A 24267-nucleotide genomic window follows, 5' to 3' on the forward strand; every position below is an offset into this window, starting at 1 on the left:
TGCCTGTAATCCCAGCACTTTGGGAGGCCGAGGCGGGCGGATCACGAGGTCAGGAGTTCGAGACCAGCCTGGCCAATATGGTGAAACCCCGTCTCTACTAAAAATACAAAAATTAGCTGGGCCTGGTGGTGGGCGCCTGTACTCCCAGCTACTTAGGAGGCTGAGGCAGGAGAATTGCTTGAACCTGGGAGGCGGAGGTTGCAGTGAGCCAAGATTGCACCACTGCACTCCAGCCTGGGCGACACAGCGAGATTCCGTCTTAGAAAAAAAAAAAAAAAGGAGAAATTTAGATGTTGGGTATCAAGGGTGTCAAGGGTATAGGGTTGGAAAGGCAACGCTAAAGGACAGCAAATGTGGGGGTAAGATATTTGCAGCAGATGCTTCACAGAATTTGCTTATACACTATTTAAAGATGACTCCAATTATAACATTAAAGAAAAGAATTGCTGGGCGCGGTGGCTCACGCCTGTAATCCCAGCTCTTTGGGAGGCCAAGGCGGGCAGATCACGAGGTCAGGAGTTCGAGACCAGCCTGACCAACATGGTGAAACCCCATCTTTACTAAAAATACAAAAAAAAAAATTAGCCGGGTTTGGTGGCACGTGCCTTGTAATCCTGGTTACCCAGGAGGCTGAGGCAGGAGAATCACTTGAACCCGGGAGGTGGAGGTTGCAGGAGCCGAGATCGTGCCATTGCACTCCAACCTGGGCAACAGAGTGAGACTCCGTCTCAAAAAAAAAAAAAAAAAAGAATTGAGAGGAGTTAGGCAGAGGTAAAAGTAACCAAAGGTCAGTTTTAAATGCTTGCCTGGCAGATCACCTGAGGTCAGGAGTTTGAGACCAGACTGGCCAACATGGCGAAACCCCATCTCTACTAAAAATACAAAAAAATTAGCTGGGCATGTTGGCAGGCGCCTTTAATCCCAGCTACTCAGGAGGCTGAGGCAGGAGAATCGCTTGAACCCGAGATGCAAAGGTTGCAGTGAGCCAAGAACGCACCATTGCACTCTAGCCTGGGCGACAAGAGTGAAACTCCGTCTCAAAAAAAAAAAGACATCTGCATTTTCCTTGATGTGTGGGGTAGAGGTTGGCTAGAAGCAGCTGGAGTGTCCGTACCTATCTTTCTTCCTCTTTTCCCATACCCTCCCCTCCACAGAAGTGACACAGCCCTAGAGGAGGCAGTAGCAGAGGTGCTAGACCATCGACCCATCGAGCCGAAACACTGCCCTCCCTGCCATGTTTCAGTTGAGCTGGTGGGGTCCTGTGCTACCCTGGTGACCGAGAGAATCCTGCAGGGGGCACCAGAGATCTTGGACAGGCAAACTGCAGCCCTTCTGCATGGTAAGGGTGGCTTTTGGATTGGGACCTCAGTAGTTCTATTCCTGTCCCTGAGAAGGGAGGGTGGAAAAGTCTAGACGCTTCCAGCCTAACCATATGCTCTCAGAGCCATTCAGCTCATACCAAAAGATAGGATTCTTTCAGGGGACAATTGAGCATGTGTTTAAAGGCCTGTGGGATACTTGTTGGAGAAAGTAGAAAGGAAGTGCAGGGCAACAGACCAAGAAGCTTCCTATTGGCATCATTTTATGATGGAAGGAGGATTAGCTAAAGAAGCAGGAAACAGATTCCAATACCAATTCCTCCAGGAAATAGGTGACCTTGAGCAAATCTCTTAACCTTTCTTGTTCTCATTTTTCCACTTGTAAAAAAAAAGAGAGAGAGAGTGAGTTGGACTAGACTGTCTTTTCCAACTTAGAAGATTCTTTGATGGGATTTGGCCTACTGAAGAGGTGTATCTCTGTCTGACTAGGCTGTAAAATCTCCAAGGTTTGAGATGCTCAGGCTTTCTTTCTACCTTTTCCCCATTTCCCTTCCTACATTTTAGTTTGGATTTGGGAGGTCTGAGGACACTGTCCATCCCAGTTTCTCATTTTGCTTTCAGAGATTTTGCTATACAAATCTCCTTGTGTGTGTCCATTTGGTGTGAAGGTTATATATGTTCTGGTGGTTGTGTGTGAAGGGTCACAGGATTCAAGTTCCACCATCTCCCTTCTCCACAGGAACCATCATCCTGGACTGTGTCAACATGGACCTTAAAATTGGAAAGGCAACCCCAAAGGACAGCAAATATGTGGAGAAACTAGAGGCCCTTTTCCCAGACCTACCCAAGAGAAATGATATATTTGATTCCCTACAAAAGGCAAAGTTTGATGTATCAGGTATGAAATGTTAGCTGACTTTTCTGCCTCCCAGATAAGAAAACAGAAAGGCAAGCCTTGTTCATTATATTATTTTTTTTTTTTTGAGACAGAGTCTTGCTCTGCCACCCAGGCTAGAGTGCAGTGGCACAATCTTGGCACACTGCAACCTCGACCTCCTGGGTTCAAGCGATTCTCCTGCCTCAGCCTCCCGAGTAGCTGGGATTACAGGCGCCCACCACCACGCCCAGCTAATTTTGGTATTTTTAGTAAAGATCGGGTTTCACCATGTTGACCAGGCTGGTCTTGAACTCTGAAGCTCAGGTGATCTGCCCGCCTGGGCCTCCCAAAGTGCTGGGATTACAGGCATGAGCCACCGCGCCTGGCCAATTATTTAAATTTTATACCAGAAAGAAATGAAGTACCATATTAGCCTAAGCATGAAATAATCAGTCATTTACTGGATTGTTCTATCCTGGCTCTTGGTTAGGATGAGGAGGAATGTATTAAGAGCCTCAGAAGGGCCAGACGCAGTGGCTCACGCCTGTAATCCCAACACTTTGGGAGGCCGAGGTGGGCAGATCACCTGAGGTCAGGAGTTCAAGACCAGCCTAGCTAACATGGTGAAACTCCGTTTCTACTAAAAATACGAAAAATTAGCTGAGCGTGGTGGTGTGTGCCTGTAATCCCATCTACTCAGGAGGCTGAGGCAGGAAAATCGCTTGAACCCGGGAAGTGGAGGTTGCAGTGAGCCGAGATTGCGCCATTGTACTCCAGCTTGGGCAACGACAGCGAAACTCCGTCTCAAAAAAAAACAAAAAGAGCCTCATAGGTTCCAGTCTATTCAGAGAATACAGGACATATATATAAAATATGCTGAGAGTATACTAAATTATCAGAGTGAAATCTATAGAATTGGTTAGGGAGGCAAAAGAAATATTTTGTGAGTAAACAAAAGATGAAGAGAACCCAAAAAAAACTGTATTCTTGTACTCAGCTACCACCTGTTGACATAAAAAGGAAGAAAGAAAGAAAGAACTCACATGTAAACAGTATAGGAAGAGGGAAAGATAAAAAGTAAAAGCCTCTGTTCTGGGTTTCATCCTTCTCTCCAAAGTTACTTGCTCTAAAGGTACCTATTGTCACCAGTTATTTAAGATGGCTTTTGATTATGTGATTACATTTTCTTTCTTTCTTTTTTTTTTTTTTTTTTGAGACAGAGTCCAGGTTCAAGTGATTCTCCTGCTTCAGCCTCCTGAGTAGCTGGGATTACAAGTGCCCGCCACCACACCCAGCTAATTCTTTGTATTTTTAGTAGAGACAGAGTTTCATCATGTTGACCAGGCTGGTCCCAAACTCCTGACCTCAGGTGATCCGCCCACCTCAGCCTCCCAAAGTGCTGGGATTACAGGCCTGAGTCACCGCGCCCGGCTATGATTACATTTTCAATTATCTCCCCCATTCATTGCCCCAAAGAGAGGCTGTTTTTCCTTCCTTGACCCATCTGGCTGTCCTTGCCTTCTTGGTCTTGGGACCCTGGCCTACCCTGTTTGACCCCTAGTCTCTCATCTGCTTTCTAGGACTGACCACTGAGCAGATGCTGAGAAAAGACCAGAAGACTATCTATAGACAAGGCGTCAAGGTGGCCATTAGTGCAATATATATGGATTTGGAGGTAAGAGCAAGTTGTGGCTGTGGGTGGGGAGAGAAAGCCTTTAGCTATGCATGTTATGCATGTGGCCTTGCACCTCATTCCTGGCTCACCTCCAAAATGTATCTTGTGTCTATCTTTGTCTCTACCTCCACTGTGACCACCAGAGTCCAGCATCTCTCACTGCACCGCTGTATTAGCCTCAGTACTGGTGTCCCTGCCTCTGCTTTTGCAGCCCTACAAACCATTCTCCCCGCAGCAGCCAGAGTGGTCTTTTTTAATTTTTTTTTTTTTTTTTTAAGGGAGTCATGCTTTGTTGCCAGGCTAGAGTACAGTGGTACCATCATGGCTCACTGCAGCCTCAACCTTCCAGGCTCAAGCAATCCTCCCACCTTAGCCTCTCGAGTAGCTGGGTCCACAGGTGCACACCACCACACCTAACTAGTGTGTGTGTGTGTGTGTGTGTGTGTGTGTGTGTGCGCGCGCGTGTATGTATGTGTCGATGGGGTCTCACTATGTTGCCCAGGCTGGTCTCAAACTCCTGGCCTCAAGCAGTTCTCCTTTTGGCCTCCGAAGTTCTGGGATTATAGGCGTGAGCCACTGTGCCCGGCCTCATTGTATTTTTAATAAAATCTAAAGGACTTACTGTGGTTTACAGCGCCATGCTTGATCTGGCCCTTGTCTTTTTCTCTGGCCTCATCTCATTCCAGCTCCACTCCTGTTCTACAGTACTGCAGCCACACTGGTTTCTTTTCTGTTCCTCAGAACCATTAAGCTCATTCCCAGCTGAGCTTTTTTCTTTGTAAAGCTGGCTCCTTCTTAACATTCAGGTACTCAGCTCAGATGTCTCTTGTTTTGGGAGGTTTTTCCTGACCACCCTAACTGAAGTACTATCTCCTATGCTCAAAAAACCTCTAGCAGTTATGTATGTATGTTTGTTTGTTTGTTTGTTTTGAGCCTGAGTCTTATTCTGTTGCCCAGGATGGAGTGGAATGGCATGATCTCAGCTCACTGCAACCTCTGCCTCCCGGGTTCAAGTAATTCTCCTGCCTCAGCCTCCCTAGTAGCTGGGATTACTGGTGCGTGCCGGCATGCCCAGCTAATTTTTTGTTTTGTTTTGTTTTGTTTTTGTTTTTTGAGACGGAGTTTCGCTCTTGTCCCCCAGGCTGGAGTGCAATGGCGCAATCTCAGCTCACTGCAACTTCCGCCTCCCTGGTTCAAGCGATTCTCCTGCCTCAGCCTCCTGAGTAGCTGGGATTACAGGCATATGCCCCCATGCCCGGCTAATTTTTGTATTTTTACCAGAGACAGGGTTTCACCATGTTGGCTAGGCTGGTCTCGAACTCCTGACCTCAAGTGATCACCTGCCTCGGCCTCCCAAAGTGCTAGGATTATAGGCGTAAGCGACCGTGCCCGGCCCAAGGATGTTTTATTGATGATGATGAGAAAGTCCTTCATCCCTCTCCGTTTCTTCCCTTTCAGGCCTTTCTGCAGAGGTCTAACCTCCTTGCAGATCTCCATGCTTTCTGCCAGGCTCACAGCTATGATGTCCTGGTTGCCATGACTATCTTTTTCAACACTCACAATGAGCCAGTGCGGCAGTTGGCTATTTTCTGTCCCCATGTGGCACTCCAAACAACGGTGAGTCTGTGTCCCTTCTCCAACCTAAGAGCCTTACAGAGTCTGCCTGTATGTACCTCTGTGCTCTACAGCTGTCCTATAAGGACCTCTCTTAGGTTCTTATATTAATGTACTTACATGAGGTCCCTTGACCTGTTTCTGGACCTGTTTCCTCCCCTTTCTGCTTTTTCCCATTCTCTCTCTATATGAATATCCTTTTTTTTTTTTTAATGAACATCCTTAATCATAGCATTGTTGAGAAAGGGGGAATTCCAAAGAGAACTAGAGATTCAATTCCTACTTTGAAAGAACGAAATCTAGTTAGAAGGAAATGTTATAAATCCGGAGTTAAAATTCCCTTCTTGAGCTAGGGACAGTGGCACGTGCCTGTAGTCCCAGCAACTCGGGAGGCTGATGCAGAAGGATTGCTTAAGCTGGAAAGTTTTTTTTTTTTTTTTTTTTTTGAGACAGTCTTGTGCTGTTGCCCAGGCTGGGGTGCAGTGGCACAATCTCGGCTCACTGCAAGCTCTGCCTCCTGGGTTAACGCCATTGTCCTGCCTCAGCCTCCCGAGTAGCTGGGACTACAGGCGCCCGCCACCACGCCCGGCTAATTTTTTGTATTTTTAGTAGAGACGGGGTTTCACCGTGTTAGCCAGGATAGTCTCGATCTCCTGACCTCGTGATCCGCCCGCCTTGGCCTCCCAAAGTGCTGGGATTACAGGCGTGAGCCACCGCGCCCAGCCGAGCTGGAAAGTTTGAGTCCAGCCTGGGCAAAGATAGCAAGACCTCATCTCTGTTGGGGAAAAAAAAAAACAAAAACTCTATTCTTGGTTTAATCATTAATTCCTCACCCCTGGAATTATGCTGTTGCCTTGAAAATTAGAAATACGAGAGACCTTTTCTGCTACTTACTATGCAGGGATTAATTATTCTGTATAGTGCAAACTCTGTAAAGAAGTGATCTAGATCCAGATTTGGCTATCTTTCCTACTTCCTCCCCCTTCTGTTCCTCTGCTGGTTACTGATTAGCCTAGGGAAGAATTTAAAAGTGGGCTTAAGGCTGGGTGCGGTGGCTCACACCTGTAATCCCAGCACTTTGGGAAGCTGAGGCGGGCAGATCACGAGAGCAAGAGATCAAGACCATCCTGGCCAACATGGTGAAACCCCATCTCTTTTAAAAATACGGAAATTAGCTGGGCGTGGTGGTGCGTGCCTATAGTCCCAGCTACTCAGGAGGCTGAGGCAGGAGAATCTCTTGAACCTCGGCAAGCAGAGGTTGCAGTGAGCCGAGATTGCGCCACTGTACTCCATCCTGCCAACAGAGCAAGACTCCGTCTCCAAAAAAAAAAAAAAAAAAGGTGGGCTTAAGGCAGTTCAGGGATTCTGAGGGTTGCCTAGGCTCTGTGAGGACTGCTAAAGACAGAATACAGCCAGATAATCCTTTGCTCTCATAGAAGGTATGTCTGTCCTTTCCCGCCCCCCTTTGCCTTTGCCTTCTCCCCAGGAAGCAAATCTGATTTCATTCAGTGTAAGGTAGTTCGTCATTATGAAAAGAACTGCAGTTTTGTCTGTTTGTTTGTTTTTTAAGATGGAGTCTCACTCTGTCGCCCAGGCTTGAGTACAGTGGTGTGATCTTGGCTCACTGCAACCGCCACCTCCCAGGTTCAGTCAGTTCTCCCACCTCAGCCTGTAGCTGGGACTACAGGCGCCTGCCACCATGCCTGACTAATTTTTGTATTTTTAGTAGAGATGGGGTTTCACCATGTTAGCCAGGCAGGTCTCGAACTCCTGACCTCAAGTGATCCACCTGCCTTGGCCTTCCGAAGTGCTGGAATTACAAGCCTGAGCCACTGCACCTGGCCAAGAACTGCAGTTTTTAAAGTCAGGTAGATGTGCTTTTCTGTTCTAGGTTTGCCTCTTACTCACTCTTTGAGCTAAGGCAAGTCAGTTGACTTCTGCATCTGGAAATGGCATAATAGTACCTACTGCTAATTCTGCTATGATCATTAAACGTAATATCATGTGTAAAGCACACTCCTGGAGCAGAGTAAGCACTTTGTAAATAGTGGCTCTTACTAATCCTGTCAGTAAGAAAAGGGTGCTTTGGCCATTAGAAGTACCTCTTCCACGTTCCTGAATCTTCTCCCCTCTGTGCTGCTCTTTTAAAGCTGTGTGGATTTCTAATGACTCTACCATTGTCTAGGTTGCCCCTATGCTTGGAAACAGGAGTCCTTCTCTCTCTGTTTTGTTTTTGTGTGTGTGTGTGTGTGTTTTTTTTTTTTTTTGAGATGTCTCACTCTGTTGACCAGGCTGGAGTGGTACAATGGCACTATCTCAGCTCACTGCAACCTCTGCCTCCCGGGTTCAAGCAATCCTCCCAGCCTCCCAAGTAGCTGCGGCTACAGGCACACCACCATGGCTAGCTAATTTTTTTTGTATTTTTTGTAGGGACAGAGTCTCGCTATGTTGCCCAGGCTGGTCTCGAACTCCTGGACTCAAGTGATCCACCAGCCTCAGCTTCCCAGAGTTCTGGAATTGCAGGTGTGGGCCACTATGCCCAGCCAGGAGTCCTTTTCTTACAGTCTACTCTACCATCTCCTCTCTTTCTCCTATGTTAGGGGTAGTATAATATATTGATTTAGAACACTGGCTTTGGTGACAGCTCTGGGCTCAGTGTCAGTTTTGCTTCATGCAAATTATGACCTTAGGCAAGTTACCTGATCATTGAAGCCTCAGTTTCCCTGCATGTAAGTGAGGGTAATAGTGATACCAGTCTTATTTTGTTCAATTCATTCTTTCTTCCTCCATCCCTCTTCTGGCCTCTAGATAAATTCTAGTTCCATCCTAGTTCAAGTTCTTGAGCACATTTATACACTTGGAAACGACACTAGATTAGAAGCTGGGGTTCCTCGGTTCTGGTTTAACTGCCATCATCTGCATGATTTTACTCACAACCATCTTACTTCGCTTTAGTTACTTTAATAATAAAATGAAATATACAATCTAAACTGTTTCCTCTGTTTTTAAAATACTGTGTATGGCTGGGTATGGTAGCTCATGCCTGTAATCCCAGAACTTTGGGAGGCTGAGCTGGGCAGATCACCTGAGCTCAGGAGTTTGAGACCAGCCTGGCCAATATGGCGAAACCCCGTCTCTACTAAAAATACAAAAATTAGCTGGGCATGATGGCAGGTGCCTGTAATCCCAGCTACTCAGGAGGCTGAAGCAAGAGAATTGCTTGAATCTGGGAGGCGAAGGTTGCAGTGAGCTAAGATCGTGCCACTGTACTCCAGCCTGGGTAACAGAGCAAGAATCCATTTCAAAAAAAAAAAAATTAAAGTAAAATAAAATAAATAAAACACTGTGTATGAATCCCAGCACTTTCGGAGGCTGAAGCAGGAGGATTGCTTGAGACCAGGATTTGGAGACCAGCCTGGGCAACATAGCAAGACCCCATCCCTAGTCTATTAAATAAAAAATACAAAATACTAAAATAAAATACTGTGGGCCAGGCTTGGTGGCTCACACCTGTAATCCTAGCACTTTGGGAGGCCGAGGCGAGAGCGGATGACCTGAGGGCAGGAGTTCGAGACCAGCCTGGCTAACATGGTGTAACCCCGTCTCCACTAAAAATACAAACATTAGCCAGGCTGGGTGACACATGCCTGTAGTCCCAGCTACATGGGAGGCTGAGGCAGGAGATTCACTTGAACCGGGGAGGCAGAGGTTGTACTGAACTGAGATTGCACCACTGCACTCCAGCCTGGGCGACAGAGCAAGACTCTGTCTCAAAAAAAAAAAAAAATACTGTGTATATTAGTGTTCCTTCTGTTGCAAACAATAAAACCGAACTCTGGACAACTTACTTTTTTTCTTGTCTTGCTTTATTGCCCAGGCTGGAGTGCAATGGTGAGATCTCGGCTCACTGCAACCTCCGCCTCCCAGGTTCAAATGATTCTCCTATCTCAGCCTCCCAAGTAGCTGGGATTACAGGTGTGAACCACCATGTCTGGCTAATTTTTGTATTTTTCGTAGAGATGGGGTTTCAGCATGTTGACAAGGCTGTTCTCGAATTCCTGACCTCAGGTGATCCGCCCACCTTGGCCTCCCAAAGTGCTGGGATTACAGGCGTGAGCCACTGTGCCCGGCCTCAAGGATAACTTACTTTTTTTTTTTTTTGAGACGGAGTTTCGCTCTTGTTGCCCAGGCTGGAGTGCAGTGGCACCATCTTGGCTCACTGCAACTTCTGTCTCCTGGGTTCAAGTGATTCTCCTGCCTCAGCCTCCCAAGTAGCTGGGATTACAGGCATGCGCCATCATGCCTGGCTAATTTTGTATTTTTAGTAGAGATGGGGTTTCTCCATGATGGTCAGGCTGGTCTCAAACTCCCGACCTCAGGTGATCGGCCCCCTTTAGCCTCCCAAAGTGCTGGGATTACAGGCGTGAGCCACCGCGCCCGGCTGACTTACTTTTTTTTTTTTTTTTTGAGATGCAGTGTTGCTCTGTCGCCCAGGCTGGAGTGCAGTGGCGCGATCTCCGCTCACTGCAAGCTCCGCCTCCTGGGTTCACGCCATTCTCCTGCCTCAGCCTCCCGAGTAGCTGGGACTACAGGCACCCGCCACCATGCCCGGCTAATTTTTTGTATTTTTAGTAGAGACGGGGTTTCACTGTGTTAGCCAGGATGGTCTCAATCTCCTGACCTCATGATCCACCCGCCTCGGCCTCCCAAAGTGCTGGGATTGCAAGCGTGAGCCACCGCACCCCGCCCGGCCGACTTACTTTTTAAAAGCTTCCTCTTCTATAGAGGAAGCCTCTCACTTAGAAGCCCAGCACTTTGCTACAGCAAGTTGTGTATCATTTCCCTGTTATTGTCTCCTCTTTAGATCTGTGAAGTCCTGGAACGCTCCCACTCTCCACCCCTGAAGCTGACCCCTGCCTCAAGTACCCACCCTAACCTCCATGCCTATCTTCAAGGCAACACCCAGGTCTCTCGAAAGAAACTTCTGCCCCTGCTCCAGGAAGCCCTGTCAGCATATTTTGACTCCATGAAGATCCCTTCAGGACAGCCTGAGACAGCAGATGTGTCCAGGGAGCAAGTGGACAAGGAATTGGACAGGGCAAGTAACTCCCTGATTTCTGGCCTGAGTCAAGATGAGGAGGACCCTCCGCTGCCCCCGACGCCCATGAACAGCTTGGTGGATGAGTGCCCTCTAGATCAGGGGCTGCCTAAACTCTCTGCTGAGGCCGTCTTCGAGAAGTGCAGTCAGATCTCACTGTCACAGTCTACCACAGCCTCCCTGTCCAAGAAGTGACTGTTGAGAGGCGAGGAGGTAGTGGGTGAGGCTACCTGACTCACTTCAAATGCATGTTTTGAGATGTTTGGAGATTCAGCAATTCTGTCTTCATTGCTCCAGGATCTGGTATACTGTTCTCATAAAACTGAGAGGAGAAAAAAAGTGAAAGAAAGCAGCTGCTTTAAGAATGGTTTTCCACCTTTTCCCCCTAATCTCTACCAATCAGACACATTTTATTATTTAAATCTGCACCTCTCTCTATTTTATTTGCCAGGGGCACGATGTGACATATCTGCAGTCCCAGCACAGTGGGACAAAAAGAATTTAGACCCCAAAAGTGTCCTCGGCATGGATCTTGAACAGAACCAGTATCTGTCATGGAACTGAACATTCATCGATGGTCTCCATGTATTCATTTATTCACTTGTTCATTCAAGTATTTATTGAATACCTGCCTCAAGCTAGAGAGAAAAGAGAGTGCGCTTTGGAAATTTATTCCAGTTTTCAGCCTACAGCAGATTATCAGCTCGGTGACTTTTCTTTCTGCCACCATTTAGGTGATGGTGTTTGATTCAGAGATGGCTGAATTTCTATTCTTAGCTTATTGTGACTGTTTCAGATCTAGTTTGGGAACAGATTAGAGGCCATTGTCTTCTGTCCTGATCAGGTGGCCTGGCTGTTTCTTTGGATCCCTCTGTCCCAGAGCCACCCAGAACCCTGACTCTTGAGAATCAAGAAAACACCCAGAAAGGCCTTAATGACCTCATAGGCACTCTTCCAAAAAGACAACAGAACTGGAATGAGAGGCCTGGGTCTGTCTCCTGCCTTAGCAGGCCTATCAATTTCTTGTCAATCTCTTTTTTTCCTTGCTCACATTAAAAGGAAGCATGGAGTTCTAATGCTCCCATAAACTATGTATTTTGGCAAGACACTTCACTACTCCAGGTCTCACTTTCCCCATCTGTAAAACAGGGTTTGGACTAGGTGTTCCCTGGTATTCTGTGATCTGCCTCTTGCTGCCATTCTTTCTCTCCTCTGCTTCTCTGTATTTTTCTTCTGTTATCCCTGGGGGTGCTCAGGTTCACTTGATTGTCTGTATTTCTGTGTGGTTGTAGCAAGGACTCAGCCTCATGTAGCACGAATAGGGGTGTGGTTCATGGCGTGTTGACCCAGCAGAGCACTCCCTCCCACTAACTTGTTCTGCATGTGTAGAGTCTCCCCATTTTTTTTAACGCAACCCTTTCCCCTTTTTCCTACCCCACAGCTCTGTTCCATGTAAGTTGCCAACAGTTTCACTGAACAGTGGGGTATGTGATGGTTTTGGCATGACATCTTCAGTATGAGGGGGACAGTTTGACTTCACTTTGAGGGTGTGATGTCTGTAGCTATGTGGAAGGTAAAAATAGTGGTGTGATCATGAACCAAAGGAATTTATGTTTTGTAACTTGGGTACTTTATTTTGCATTTTGTTATACTATTAAATAATTTTTTCCTGTTTGGGGGTCTTACTGTCTTTTTTTACAAGTGTATTCAGGCCTTTCTCTGTGATAGTTGTTTCAGTCTCCTCAAAATTGATCCCCCTTCTTCCTACTATACTTAATGTCTTCTTTCTGTTGACTCTTTTTGGGAATAAGGAGCAACAGGCTTCTGTCTCCCCTCATCCTCAGCCTCCCGTTCAACTTGTTTATTCTCCCAGAAACCTCCTTATAACATACTTCCGTTTCCCCAGTTTTCCTTATGCTTGAAAAGTAGATCCAAGATAACAGTCCTAGAAACACACACAATGGTTTCTTTTTCTTTTTTTTTTTTTTTTTGAGATGGAGTTTTGCTCTTTTTGCCCTGGCTGGAGTGCAATGGCACAATCTCAGCCCACTACAACCTCTGCCTCCCAGGTTCAAGCGATTCTCCTGCCTCAGCCTCCCAAGTAGCTGGGATTATAGGCATGTGTCACCACGCCCAGATAATTTTTTTTTTTTTTTTTTTTTTTTTTTTTTTTTGGATTTTTAGTAGAGATGGGGTTTCTCCACATTGGTCAGGCTGGTCTCAAACTCCCGACCTCAGGTGATCCGCCTGCCTTGGCCTCCCAAAGTGTTGGGATTACAGGTGTGAGCCACCACGCCCGGCCAGAAACACAACGGTTTCTACTGGTTTTTTTGCTTATTTGTGTAAAGAGCAACTTTGAGAGGGATATATGGAGTCTGGAAAGGAGAACAAATTGCCTTCCTAGACTCAACCGAGACTGGCCCCCACTAGAAAATGCACTCTCCTCCCCAAAACCCGCCCCCTCACAGGAGGCAGGGTTTTTCTTTTGGGCAAACCTGCTCCTGGGGAGAGGAGTGGCAAAACCTGTTTTGAAGATGAGGTTACCTCCCTTCCACACCTCCCTCCTTGGAGGCAAGAGCTACAACAGCTGAGACAGAAAAGAGGTAAGGAAGTGTTGGGGGCTGGGACAACCAGCTCCCCAACAACTCCTAGGTGTTTAAAGAAGGAGGCAGGAAGACTTGTGAAGATGGGAACTATACAAGAGGCAGGAAAAAAGACAGATGTTGGGTAAGTAAGATCTTGGCTCACTTGATTGGTAACAGTGAATAAACAGTCCGGAGAGACTTCCCCACCACCCAGCTCTTACTGGGTCAAATCTCGGGTTCCTCAAGGAGACAAGACTGTAAGAGAGTTTGCAGAGAAGAGATGAGGGTGGTTTTAGGTAGGAAATGTCAGTATGGTATGGAACTGGGGAACAGGATTCCAGGATAATTCCCTGGTTTAAAAATAAAGGAAGTTTCTGTAATATGTTGTACCTGATAAATCTGCCTGTGTTCTTTTATTTTCTAACCCTCACCCTCCAGAATGGCCATCAGGAAAGCTGAACCAGAACCGAGTTTAGGTCCAGGTTCTCGTTCTGGCAAATCTTTCTCCTTACCTTCTTCCTCCACCCCTCCACTTATGCCATGTTTTCCCTTAGCCACTCCCCAGCTCGGTGGAGGAAAGGCAGGCCTAACTAGGTACCGTCTTCCCGACTTTGCTCAATGATAGCTGGGTGGGTCTAGCTGGGTTCCAGCCACTTGTAATGTGGGACATCTCTCACCCCAACTTTGTAGGTGGAGCAACTGCTACAGAGGTAAATATGATTAACTTTACATTCCATCTTTCGTCTGCTCCCAAACTTAACAGCAGGTAATCTGCTTCTAGCAAGTGGTGAAGGTAAGAGAAGCATCTGTATAGGAGGCAAGAGATCTGAGTCCTTTTGAAGGCCTATCCTCTGCTCTGTATCTCAATTACTGTTCTTCATTTCAATTATTCTTACCTACTATTCAGTTCCCTTGATCTTTTCTTCTTGGGGGCTGTCTTAGGGTCAGGGAGATTGCAGAAGCACCAGAACTAGGAGCAGCCCTGAGACATGGGGAGTTGGAGCTGAAGGAGGAATGGCAGGATGAAGAATTCCCTAGGTGAGGACGTGTGAGGGTGGCTGGGAGAAGGGAGGGGTGGTCACGAATGGACGGAGGGGATGGCGCGGCGGCTCATGGCTGTAATCCCAGCACTTTGGGTGGCCGAGGCGGGTGGATCACCTGAGGTCAGGAGTTTGAGACCAGCCTGACCAACACGGTGAAATCCCGTCTCTACTAAAAATACAAAATTAGCCAGGTGTGGTGGCACATGCCTGTAATCCCAGCTACTCGGGAGGCTGAGGCAGGAGAATCACTTGAACCTGGGAGGCAGAGGTTGTAGTGAGCTGAGATTGTGCCATTACACCCGAGCTTGGGCAACAAGAGTGAAACTCTGTCTCAAAAAAAAAAAAAAAAAAAAAAAAAAAAAGCAAATGGACACAGGGATGGTGAATTAGGACTTGAAGGAAAAAAATGGGAAAAAGAAAACAGAGGCCGGGCGTGGTGGCTGATGCCTGTAATCCCAGCACTTTGGGAGGCCGAGGCAGGTGGATCACTTGAGCTCAGAAGTTCAAGACTACTCTGGGCAACATGGCATAACCCCATCTCTACAAAAATACAAAATTTAGCCAAGTGTGGTGGTGCACACCTGTAGGCCCAGCTACTCGGGAGGCTGAGGTGGGAGGACCGCTTGAACCCTGGAGGTAGAGGCTGCAGTGAGCTGTGATTGTGCCACTGCATTCCAGCCTGGGCAACAGAGTGAGACCCTGTCTCAAAAAAACAATTAAAAAAAAAAGCAGCATAGGTGATAAAATCATGGTGGGGAGAGAGAACCTATATATTGAGTCCTGGCTTGATGCCTTTGGTGTATATGTCTGCCGCCTTTTAATCTCTTCCCCTCTAGATTGCTTCCTGAGGAGGCTGGCACTTCTGAAGATCCTGAAGACCCTAAAGGAGATTCACAGGCAGGTAGGTCAAGTAGAAACCAGGCCTCAAGTTCTTGATTCTAGTCCAGTAAAGGGCTATGCCACCTCTATCCTTTTACAGTTCCATTTCCCCCTTTTCCCAAATCTCCCCTGCGTGAGTCCTTCTTCAGCATTCACCCCATATTATCACTTTCACATACAGGAATTCTAGCCCTCTCGGCTCTCCAACACACACACCCATCTTGGTTCTCTTTTTCCCCCTTTCTCCAGCTGCAGGTACCCCCAGCACTTTAGCCCTGTGTGGCCAGCGCCCCATGCGCAAGCGTCTTTCTGCCCCAGAGTTGCGGCTGAGTCTGACTAAGGGGCCTGGAAATGATGGAGCTTCACCCACCCAGTCTGCACCTTCCTCTCCTGATGGCAGTTCTGACCTGGAGATAGACGAATTGGAGACACCTTCAGACTCGGAGCAGCTGGACAGTGGACATGAATTTGAATGGGAAGGTGGGAAACAAACCAGAGGACTCAGCTGGTAGAAGTAGAGGCTAGAGCTAAAGGATCAGGATGGACTTAATGGGACTGCAGTTAGAACTAATAAGGTGGGACCAAGGGCTACGGCCAGCAAAATTAGTTTCCTCAAATGGAACTTGGGCTTATAGGTCCAATGTGAGAGTAGTCAGTAGAGGGGGAGGGGAGCCCATTGTTTATTAAGGAAAATTTAATTGAATGCCTGTTACATACTATCATGTATAGGACTGGGGTTATAAAGATGAATAAGAGAGGGCCTACAGGGAATTCTCTGCTTAGTAGGAAATAAACATATATAAAAATAATTGCAGTTAAAGGTTATGATCTATATATGTGTAGGGTACAGTGTAGACAGGGAGAAGGAAAAGGTCAGTTCTGCCTGAGAGATGTTAGGAAAGGCTTCATGAAGGAGATGATTCTGAGCTAAGTGTTGAAAACTGAAGCTGACATTTATCAGGTAGTTGGAGAGAGGGCATTCTAAGGAGAAGAAGCAGAAGCAACTCAAGCAATAGCATGGCATGTTGGGGAATTCAAAGTATGAGCATGACTATTTTAATATGAAGGGCCGGGAGGTGAAGAGAGAATGACAAAAGATAGTGCTGCTGGGTTAAGTAGAAAAAGGTCACATCATGGAGGCCCTTGCTGCCATGATAAGGAGTTTAGGTTTTATCTTATAGACAATAGGGAGTCATGATAAGTTTTTTTGTTTTTTGTTTTTGATACAGAGTCTTGCCCTGTTGCCCAGGCTAGAGTAGAGTGGTGTGATATAGGCTTACTGCAACGTCTGCTTCCTGGGTTCAAGTGATTCTTGTTCCTCAGCCTCCTGAGTAGCTGAGATTACAGATGTGTGCTATCACGTGTGGCTAATTTTTATATTTTTAGTAGAGATGGGGTTTCGCCATGTTGGCCAGGCTGATCTTGAGCTCCTGGCCTCAAGTGATCCACCTGCCTTGGCCTCCCAGTGTGCTGGGATTACAGGTGTGAGCCACCATGCCTGGCCCAGTAAGGTTTTAATCAAAGGAGTAACATGATCAAATTTAATGACTCTGAAAAGATTGGAAACAACCTAAAGATCCAGCAGTAAGGTATTACGTTTGTTATGGTGCATCCATCCAGTGGAATACTAAATACTAGGCAACATTTTGTTTTTGAGACAGTCTTGCTCTGTTGCCCAGTCTGGAGTGCAATGGCACAATCTTGCTCACTGCAGCCTCAACCTCCTAGGCTCAAGCAATCCTCCTGCCTCAGCCTCCCAAGTATCTGGGACTATAGGCCCACGCCACCAAACCTGGCTAATTTTTATATATTTTTGTAGAGACAGGGTCTTGCTATGTTGCCCAGGCTGGTCTTGAACTCCTGGCCTCAAGCAATCCTCCTGCCTCAGTCTCCCAAAGTGTTGGGATTACAGGCATGAGCCACTGTACTCGGCTATGCAACTATTTTTTAAAATGAAGCAGTTCTTAGGCTGGGAGCGGTGGCTCACGCCTGTAATCCCAGCACTTTGGGAGGCTGAGGCAGGTGGATCACCTGAGGTCAGGAGTTCAAGACCAGCCTGAGCAACATGGAGAAAGCCCATCTCTACTAAAAATACAAAATTAGCTGGGTATGGTGGCACACACCTGTAATCCCAGCTACTTGGGAGGCTGAGGCAGGAGAATCGCTTGAACCGGTGAGGTGGAGGTTGCGGTGAGCCGAGATTGCGTCACTGCACTCCAGCCTGGGCGACAAGAGCAAAACTCCATCTCAAAAAAAAAAAAAAAAAAGAAGAAGCAGCTCTTTCTATTGCTATGGAAAGATCATGCAGAATGGTGGGTATAATATATTATCATTTGAATAAAAAGCTAAAGAGGCTGGGTGCAGTGGCTCATTCCTGTAATCCCAACACTTTGGGAGGCTGAGGAGGGCAGATCATCTGAGCCCAGGAGTTGGGACCAGCCTGGGCAACAAAGTGAAACCCTATTTCTACAAAAAAAATTTTTTTTAAATTGGCTGGGCTTTGTGGCACAGACCTGTAGTCCCAGCTACTTGGGAGGCTGAGGTGGGAGGATCACCTGAGCCTGGGAAGTAGAGGTTGTAGTGAGCCAAGATCATGCCACTCCACTCCAGCCTGGAAGACAGAGTGAGACCCTGTCTCAAAAAAAAAGGTAGAGAAGAAAGGAAAGCTTGCTCTAGCAGTGGTATAGAGGGTCTATTGGAAAAAAACAGACTAGAGGCAGGGAAAGCAGTAAGGAGGCTAGTACCAAGGCCAGGTGAGAAATACTAAGAACCCAAACCAGGATAGCAGTAGTGGAAAGGATGATGAAAGAATATCATAGAGATAGATGGATCACAATCTGGAGTCCAGTTCATTTCAGGGCTGATAGAGAAGAAAGAGTTTCACATGACATGCAGTTTTCTCACTAGCCAGGCATGCTGATGTGTACCCATAGCCCTAGCTACTTGGGAAGCTGGGGTGGGAGTATCACTTGAGCCCAGGAGGTCAAAGCTGCAGTGAGCAAAGGTCGAGCCACTGTACTCCAGCTTGGATAGCAGAGTGAGTCCCTGTCTCTAAAAGAAAACAACAACAACAACAATAATAATAATATAATTTTCTCATTCAGGCAGCTACATGGATTCAGTCATTCATCAATACAGGAAATATGGCTGGGCACGGTGGCTCATGCCTGTAATCCTAGCACTTTGGGATGCCAAGGCAGGTAGATCACCTGAGGTCAGGAGTTTGAGACAAGCCTGGCCAACATGGCAAAACCTCGTCTCTACTAAAAATACAAAAAATTCGCCACACATGGGGGCGTGCACCTGTAGTACCAGCTACTCGGGAGGCTGAGGCAGGAGAATCACTTGAACCTGGGAGGCGGAGGTTGCAGTGAGCCAAGATCGCACCACTGCACTCCAGCCTGGGCAACAGAGCAAGACTCCATCTCAGAAAAAAAAAGGAAATAGGAAATATGAGGGAGAATAAGAAGAATAATTTATTTATTATTATTATTATTATTTTTGAGACAGAGTCTCACTCTTGTTGCCCAGGCTGTATTATTATTATTTTTTTAGAGACAAAGTCTCACTCTGTCACCCAGGCTAGAGTGCAGTGGTATGATCATAGTTCACTGCAGCCTTGAACTCCTGGGCATGAGTGATCTTCCCACCTTGGCCTCCCAAAGCAGAAAAGAATGATTTTGAGTTCCATTTTTTTGTTGTTGTTGTTATTGTTTTGTAATTTGTAATTTTATTATTTTTTAAATTTTTTGTAAAGATGAGGTCTCACTTTGTTGCCCAGGCTGGTCTCAAACTCCTGGCTTCAAGCAATCTTCCTGCCTTGGCCTCCCAAAGTGCTGGGATTACAGGCACGAGCCATTGAGCACAACCTTGAGTTCCCTTTTGAATCTGGTGATTTGTTGATGACAAGCAGACACGAAGTGAAGATGTACACTCTAGGCATTTAGGGATACGGCTAGAGTCAAAACAGAAGCCTGGGTTAGAGGCTAGGTGTGGTAGCTCATGCCTCTAATCCCAGCATTTTGGGAGGCCAAGGTGGACTGATTGCTTTGAACTCAGGAGTTCAAGACCAGCCTAGGCAACACGGCAAAACCCTGTTTCTACAAAAAATACAAAAATTAGCTGGGCATGGTGGTGCATGCCTGTAGTTCCAGCTACATGGGAGCCTGAAGCTAGAGAATCGCTTGAGCCCAGGAAGTGGAGGTTGCAGTGAGCTGAGATCCCACCACTGCACTCCAGCCTGGGTGACAGAGTGAGACTCTGTCTCAAAAAAAAGGAAAAAAAAAAAGAATCAAGGAAAAAATTGAGTAATGACAGATTAGAGTAACAAACTAGGAATCTGAGGAAGTTACAAAAAACTGAAGGTAGGAAATCTGCCTTGTTGATCCTTCCCCATCCCTCTCTTTTAGATGAACTACCCCGGGCAGAGGGTCTGGGCACCAGTGAGACAGCTGAAAGGCTGGGCCGAGGTTGTATGTGGGATGTGACTGGAGAAGATGGACATCACTGGAGGGTGTTCCGAATGGGACCACGGGAGCAGCGCGTAGACATGACTGTCATTGAGCCCTATAAGAAAGTCCTGTCTCATGGAGGTAATGGCTAGCATAATGCAGGTGTTAAGAGCTATGGCTTCTTAATAAAATGCCTAAGCTGGAGACTCAGTCATTGGATCCAAAATCTATCCTGGAACTTCCAGAGACCCTCAGAGTCCCTCAACTTAAACAGATATACTATCTGTCAATACATATTTGTTGACCAAATGAATTTTCCCCTTACACTCTCCAGGTTACCACGGTGATGGCCTCAATGCTGTCATCCTTTTTGCTTCCTGTTATCTACCCAGAAGCAGCATCCCCAACTACACCTATGTCATGGAACACTTGTTTAGGTGAGGTGGAAGGCCTGAAGGGCTACAGGGCAGTGTTAGGGAGGGAAAAGTAAAAAAGAACTCCTTCAAAGATCAGTAGCTGATGGGAGAGTCTACAGTAATGTTCCTCTCACTCTCTGAAGCCCCTAACACATACCTTCCCTGCAATTTCATCCCCCCAGGTATATGGTGGGAACTCTGGAGCTGCTAGTAGCTGAAAATTACCTGCTTGTTCATTTGAGTGGAGGCACAAGCAGGGCCCAAGTTCCACCTCTAAGCTGGATACGTCAGTGTTACCGTACCCTGGATCGGCGGTGAGACCTGGGATGAGAGGGCTACAACTCTCTATCTCATCTTTTTTTCCCCATCTTTCTATTATTTCTTCTTCCATTTAGTCCTTTTCCTATTTTCTTTGTCCTTTTACGTTCCTTTCCCAGCTCTTTTGTCTTCTGTCTTCTCTTGGAGTCAAGGAAATCTAGCTTCAAATCCTGCTGTTACCACATTACTGTTTACTAGCTGTATGGCTTTGGACAAGTCACTTAACCTCTCTGGGCTTCAGCTTCAGTTTTTTTGTTTTTTTGTTTTTTTTGAGACAGGATCTGGCTGTGTCATCCAGACTGGAGTGCAGTGGCACGATCTCGGCTCACTGCCACCTCTGCCTGCCAGGCTCAAGCGATCCTCCCACCTCAGCCTCCCAAGTAGCTGGGACTACAGGCATGGGCCACCATGCCCAGCTAACTTTTGTATTTTTTGTAGAGATGGAGTTTCACCATTTTGCCCAGGCTGGTCTCAAACTCCTGAGCTCAAGTGATCTGCCTGCCTCCACCTCCCAAAATGCTGAGATTATAGGCATGAGCCACTGCACCCGGCCACTTCAGCTTCTTTATCTGTAAAATGGCAATAGTTATACTTTTGCCACTGGGTATTTGTGAAAATCGAGTAAATTAGTGTGGCATATTGCCTGGCACACAGAAAGCACTCTTCTCTCAGTCTTGCCATTTATTTCCCTTTCCACACCTCCATTATCTTCTTCTCTGCCTTCATCACTGACCTATGTGTCTTCTCTGTCACCAGGCTGCAGTGCAGTGGTAAGATCTTGGCTCGCTGCAGCCTCTCCCTCCCTGGCTCAAGCCATCCTCCCACCTCAGCCTTCCAAGTAGCTGGGAGTACAGGCATGCGCCACCACCATGCCTAGCTAATTTTTGTATTTTTGTTGTTGTTGTTAGAGACAGGGTTTTGCCATGTTTCTCAGGCCAGTCTTGAACTCCTGAGCTCAGGTGATCTGCCTGCTTTGGCCTCCCAAAGTGCTGGGATTACAGGTGTGAGCCACTGTGCCTGGCCCTGTGTCTTCTTTTCCTTCTCAGGTTTTTTTTTTTTCCCCTTTTGGTTCCCCCATCTCCATTTGCTCACATTTCTCTTCTTGCCCCCTTTCCTTTTTTCGTCCTTGCTGGTCTTCTTCCACCTAGAGTTTTATAAGTAATCTTGGTCATGGAGCGATGTAGAAGCATGCAAAAGGAACTTACGCGAGGGTAGAGCACAAGATGGAAATGGAGCAGAAAAAGACCAGGTGGTCGGGCGCGGTGGCTCACGTCTGTAATCCCAGCACTTTGGAAGGCCGAGGTGGGCGGATCACAAGGTCAGGAGTTCAAGACCAGCCTGGCCAACATGGTGACAAGTCATTATCTCTACTAAAAAAATACAAAAATTAGCTGGGCATGGTGGCATGTGCCTATAATCCCAGCTACTCGGGAGGCTGAGGCAGGAGAATCACTTGAACCCGGGAGGTGGAGGGTTGCAGTGAGCCGAGATCGAGCCACTGACTCCAGCCTGGCGACAGAGTGAGATTCCATCTCAAAAAAAAAAAAAAAAAAAAAAAATCCGGGCGCGATGGCTCACACCTGTAATCCCAGCACTTTGGGAGGCCGAGGCGGGCAGATCACGAGGTCAGGAGATCGAGACCATGGTGAAACCCCGTCTCTACTAAAAATACAAAAAATTAGCCGGGCACGGTGGCGGGCGCCTGTAGTCCCAGCTACTCAGGAGGCTGAGGCAGGAGAATGGCATGAACCCGGGAAGCAGAGCTTACAGGGAGCTGAGATAGTGCCACTACACTCCAGCCCAGGCGACAGAGTGAGACTCCGTCTCAAAAAAAAAAAAAAAAAAAAATCTTGAGAGTTTTTTTAAAAATGAGGATCATGGAGGGCTAAATAAGATGGGTGGAGCTGAGATTACAGCTGACGGAATGGGGATTAGACCCAAGTACCAGATAAATCTAGAAACTAGAGAAGTGAATGAAGGAAGTTACAGTACAGAAAACAGTTCCACGTGATCTTCACACATAAAGGTGGAAGAAGAAATAGGATGATCTCATGTTGTTTTTCAGGCTACGGAAAAACCTGCGAGCCCTGGTGGTTGTCCATGCTACATGGTATGTGAAAGCATTTCTGGCACTGCTTCGGCCCTTCATCAGGTACTAGTTCTAGGAACAAGGACTCCTTTCTCCTTCCCCCCATTTTCAAAATCAAGATTAAGATCTTTCTCCACCTTGATTCTTTCTAGCCTTAACCACTCTACTTCTACATTTTTCTTTGCAAGGATTTTTGGGAACCCTTCTCCCAATACAAAACACAGTTGATTTATTCTCTCTTTTCAGTTCCAAATTCACACGAAAAATCCGTTTTCTGGACAGCCTGGGGGAGCTGGCCCAACTCATATCCCTGGATCAAGTCCACATCCCTGAAGCTGTCAGACAGTGAGTTTCACACTTAAGAATAAAGCCTTGGGGTGGGATGTGTAAAGCCAATCTCTACTTTTTTAATGCCTTGGGGGACATACAAAAGAACGAAAAGCTAGAGGGCCCTGTTTTCGGGTGCTTTAATGTATATGGGGAAACTGCACACACCCAGAGAAGAAATGAAGGACACTACTGCATCCAACAAGAATAAATGAAAAAAAAAAAAAACCTATACATATAAGTGCAGAGGCAATAAGGAATAAAGGAATAATCACAGTGCAGAGGAGATTCAGACTGGCCCTAGAAATTAGGAAGAGATGTGTTGGCAGTGAACAGATGATATCCAGTGGGGGAGAGGGTGTTAGGGAGCAAAAGTGCTAAATGATGACTCAACCCAATCATCTAGCTCTTCCAATTCACCTGGCTTCTCTCCCCAAACCAGAAAATAAAACCCAAGTCCTACCCCCTGAACCACTTCTCTCCTCCCCCTCTCCCTCTCCTAGGCTGGACCGGGATCTCCATGGCTCAGGAGGGACATAGCACAGGACTGGATAAAAGGCCTTAGAACCAGTTAGTGATCTGCCTACACCTGAATCCCTGAAACATCTGAACTGTTTTGTAAATCATCTTATCCCCAACCTCAGTACCACCGGATCTTCACTTCTCAGTGGGATTTTGTCCTTTGCATGACCCTACTTTCAGCAGGGCTTTGAGGCTGGGAAACTGATCTGCTGGGTGACTTTCATTCCAGTTGCTGGGACGGAAGGCTGAATGTAGGGTCATTTTGTATGGGATATGCAGAGCTCTGGGTTTTTTTGTTTTTTGTTTTTTGAGACGGAGTCTCGCTCTGTCGCCAGGCTGGAGTGCAGTGGTGCGATCTCGGCTCACTGCAACCTCCGCCTCCCGGTTCAAGCCATTCTTCTGCCTCAGCCTCAGCGAGTAGCTGAGACTACCGGCGCACGCCACCACGCCCAGCTAATTGTTTTGTATTTTTAGTAGAGACGGGGTTTCACCATGTTGGCCAGGATGGTCTCGATCTCTTGACCTCGTGATCTGCCCGCCTCGGCCTCCCAAAGTGCCGAGATTACAGGTGTGAGCCACCGCGCTCGGCCAGAGCTCTGGGTTTTAATCCTACTTTAGCTGTAGAACCTTGGGCAAATAACTTCATCTTTTTGGGTCCTAATTTTCCTCCTGTCTAACTGGAGGGACTGTGATCCTTCCACCTTGGATGGAAGAGGCTTACCTGACAGCCAGCCTGCCTGCTGGGAGCCAGGAGAGTCAGCTCATTAAATCTTGAAGAACCGCTGTATGCCCTTTTTCCTTCTAAGTCATGTCTGCTGCCTGTGAGCCTGGGAAGGAGTGCTTTCAAAACCTGTATTTTTGCCCTCTTTAGTAAATTTAGAACTGTAGAGGCTAATAAACTGCGATGAGACATTTAAGCTCTGCTCCAAAGAAGTGAACGACTCTTTCACCACCCCTTGCATCCCAAACCTTCGGTTCTGGCAGAGTTCTTGCCGCAGAGGTTCCTTAGGAGCACCCCGCGCGGCCCGCGCGAGCGCGCCTGCGCGTCGAACCC

At 47.0% G+C, this 24267-nt stretch overlaps 2 protein-coding genes across 20 annotated transcripts in view; both read left to right on the forward strand.

The window, feature by feature from the left end:
• PRUNE1 (prune exopolyphosphatase 1) overlaps positions 1-12257 on the forward strand; it is a 27265-nt gene extending 15008 nt beyond the window's left edge. For 4 of the 13 annotated variants that reach the window (NM_021222.3, XM_005245393.6, NM_001303229.2 and 1 more), the window contains 5 exons: positions 1155-1339; positions 2059-2217; positions 3777-3871; positions 5330-5488; positions 10350-12257. In NM_021222.3, the coding sequence (NP_067045.1) occupies positions 1155-1339; positions 2059-2217; positions 3777-3871; positions 5330-5488; positions 10350-10778 (1027 nt within the window). In that variant the 3' untranslated portion in view covers positions 10779-12257. The remainder of the gene's footprint in view (positions 1-1154; positions 1340-2058; positions 2218-3776; positions 3872-5329; positions 5489-10349) is intronic. The other 9 variants (NR_130131.2, NM_001303243.2, XM_047426610.1 and 6 more) reach the window with 5 other exon arrangements.
• BNIPL (BCL2 interacting protein like) lies at positions 13130-24264 on the forward strand. 7 transcript variants are annotated; one of them, XM_024453496.2, is made up of 11 exons: positions 13130-13310; positions 13859-13878; positions 14111-14206; positions 15048-15112; positions 15340-15570; positions 19500-19682; positions 19876-19978; positions 20140-20271; positions 22341-22427; positions 22611-22709; positions 23195-24264. In XM_024453496.2, the coding sequence occupies exons 5-11, from the start codon at positions 15384-15386 to the stop codon at positions 23229-23231; spliced, it is 828 nt and encodes a 275-aa protein (XP_024309264.1). In that variant the 5' UTR covers positions 13130-13310; positions 13859-13878; positions 14111-14206; positions 15048-15112; positions 15340-15383; the 3' UTR covers positions 23232-24264. The 7 variants fall into 7 exon arrangements, 5 of the variants coding, with proteins under 5 accessions (XP_024309264.1, XP_047303269.1, NP_001153114.1 ...); XM_047447313.1 differs by having other exon boundaries at positions 22341-22385; NM_001159642.2 differs by having other exon boundaries at positions 13859-14206.

Source organism: Homo sapiens, chromosome 1 (genome assembly GCF_000001405.40).
Source record: "Homo sapiens chromosome 1, GRCh38.p14 Primary Assembly".
NCBI classification, from domain to species: domain Eukaryota; kingdom Metazoa; phylum Chordata; class Mammalia; order Primates; family Hominidae; genus Homo; species Homo sapiens.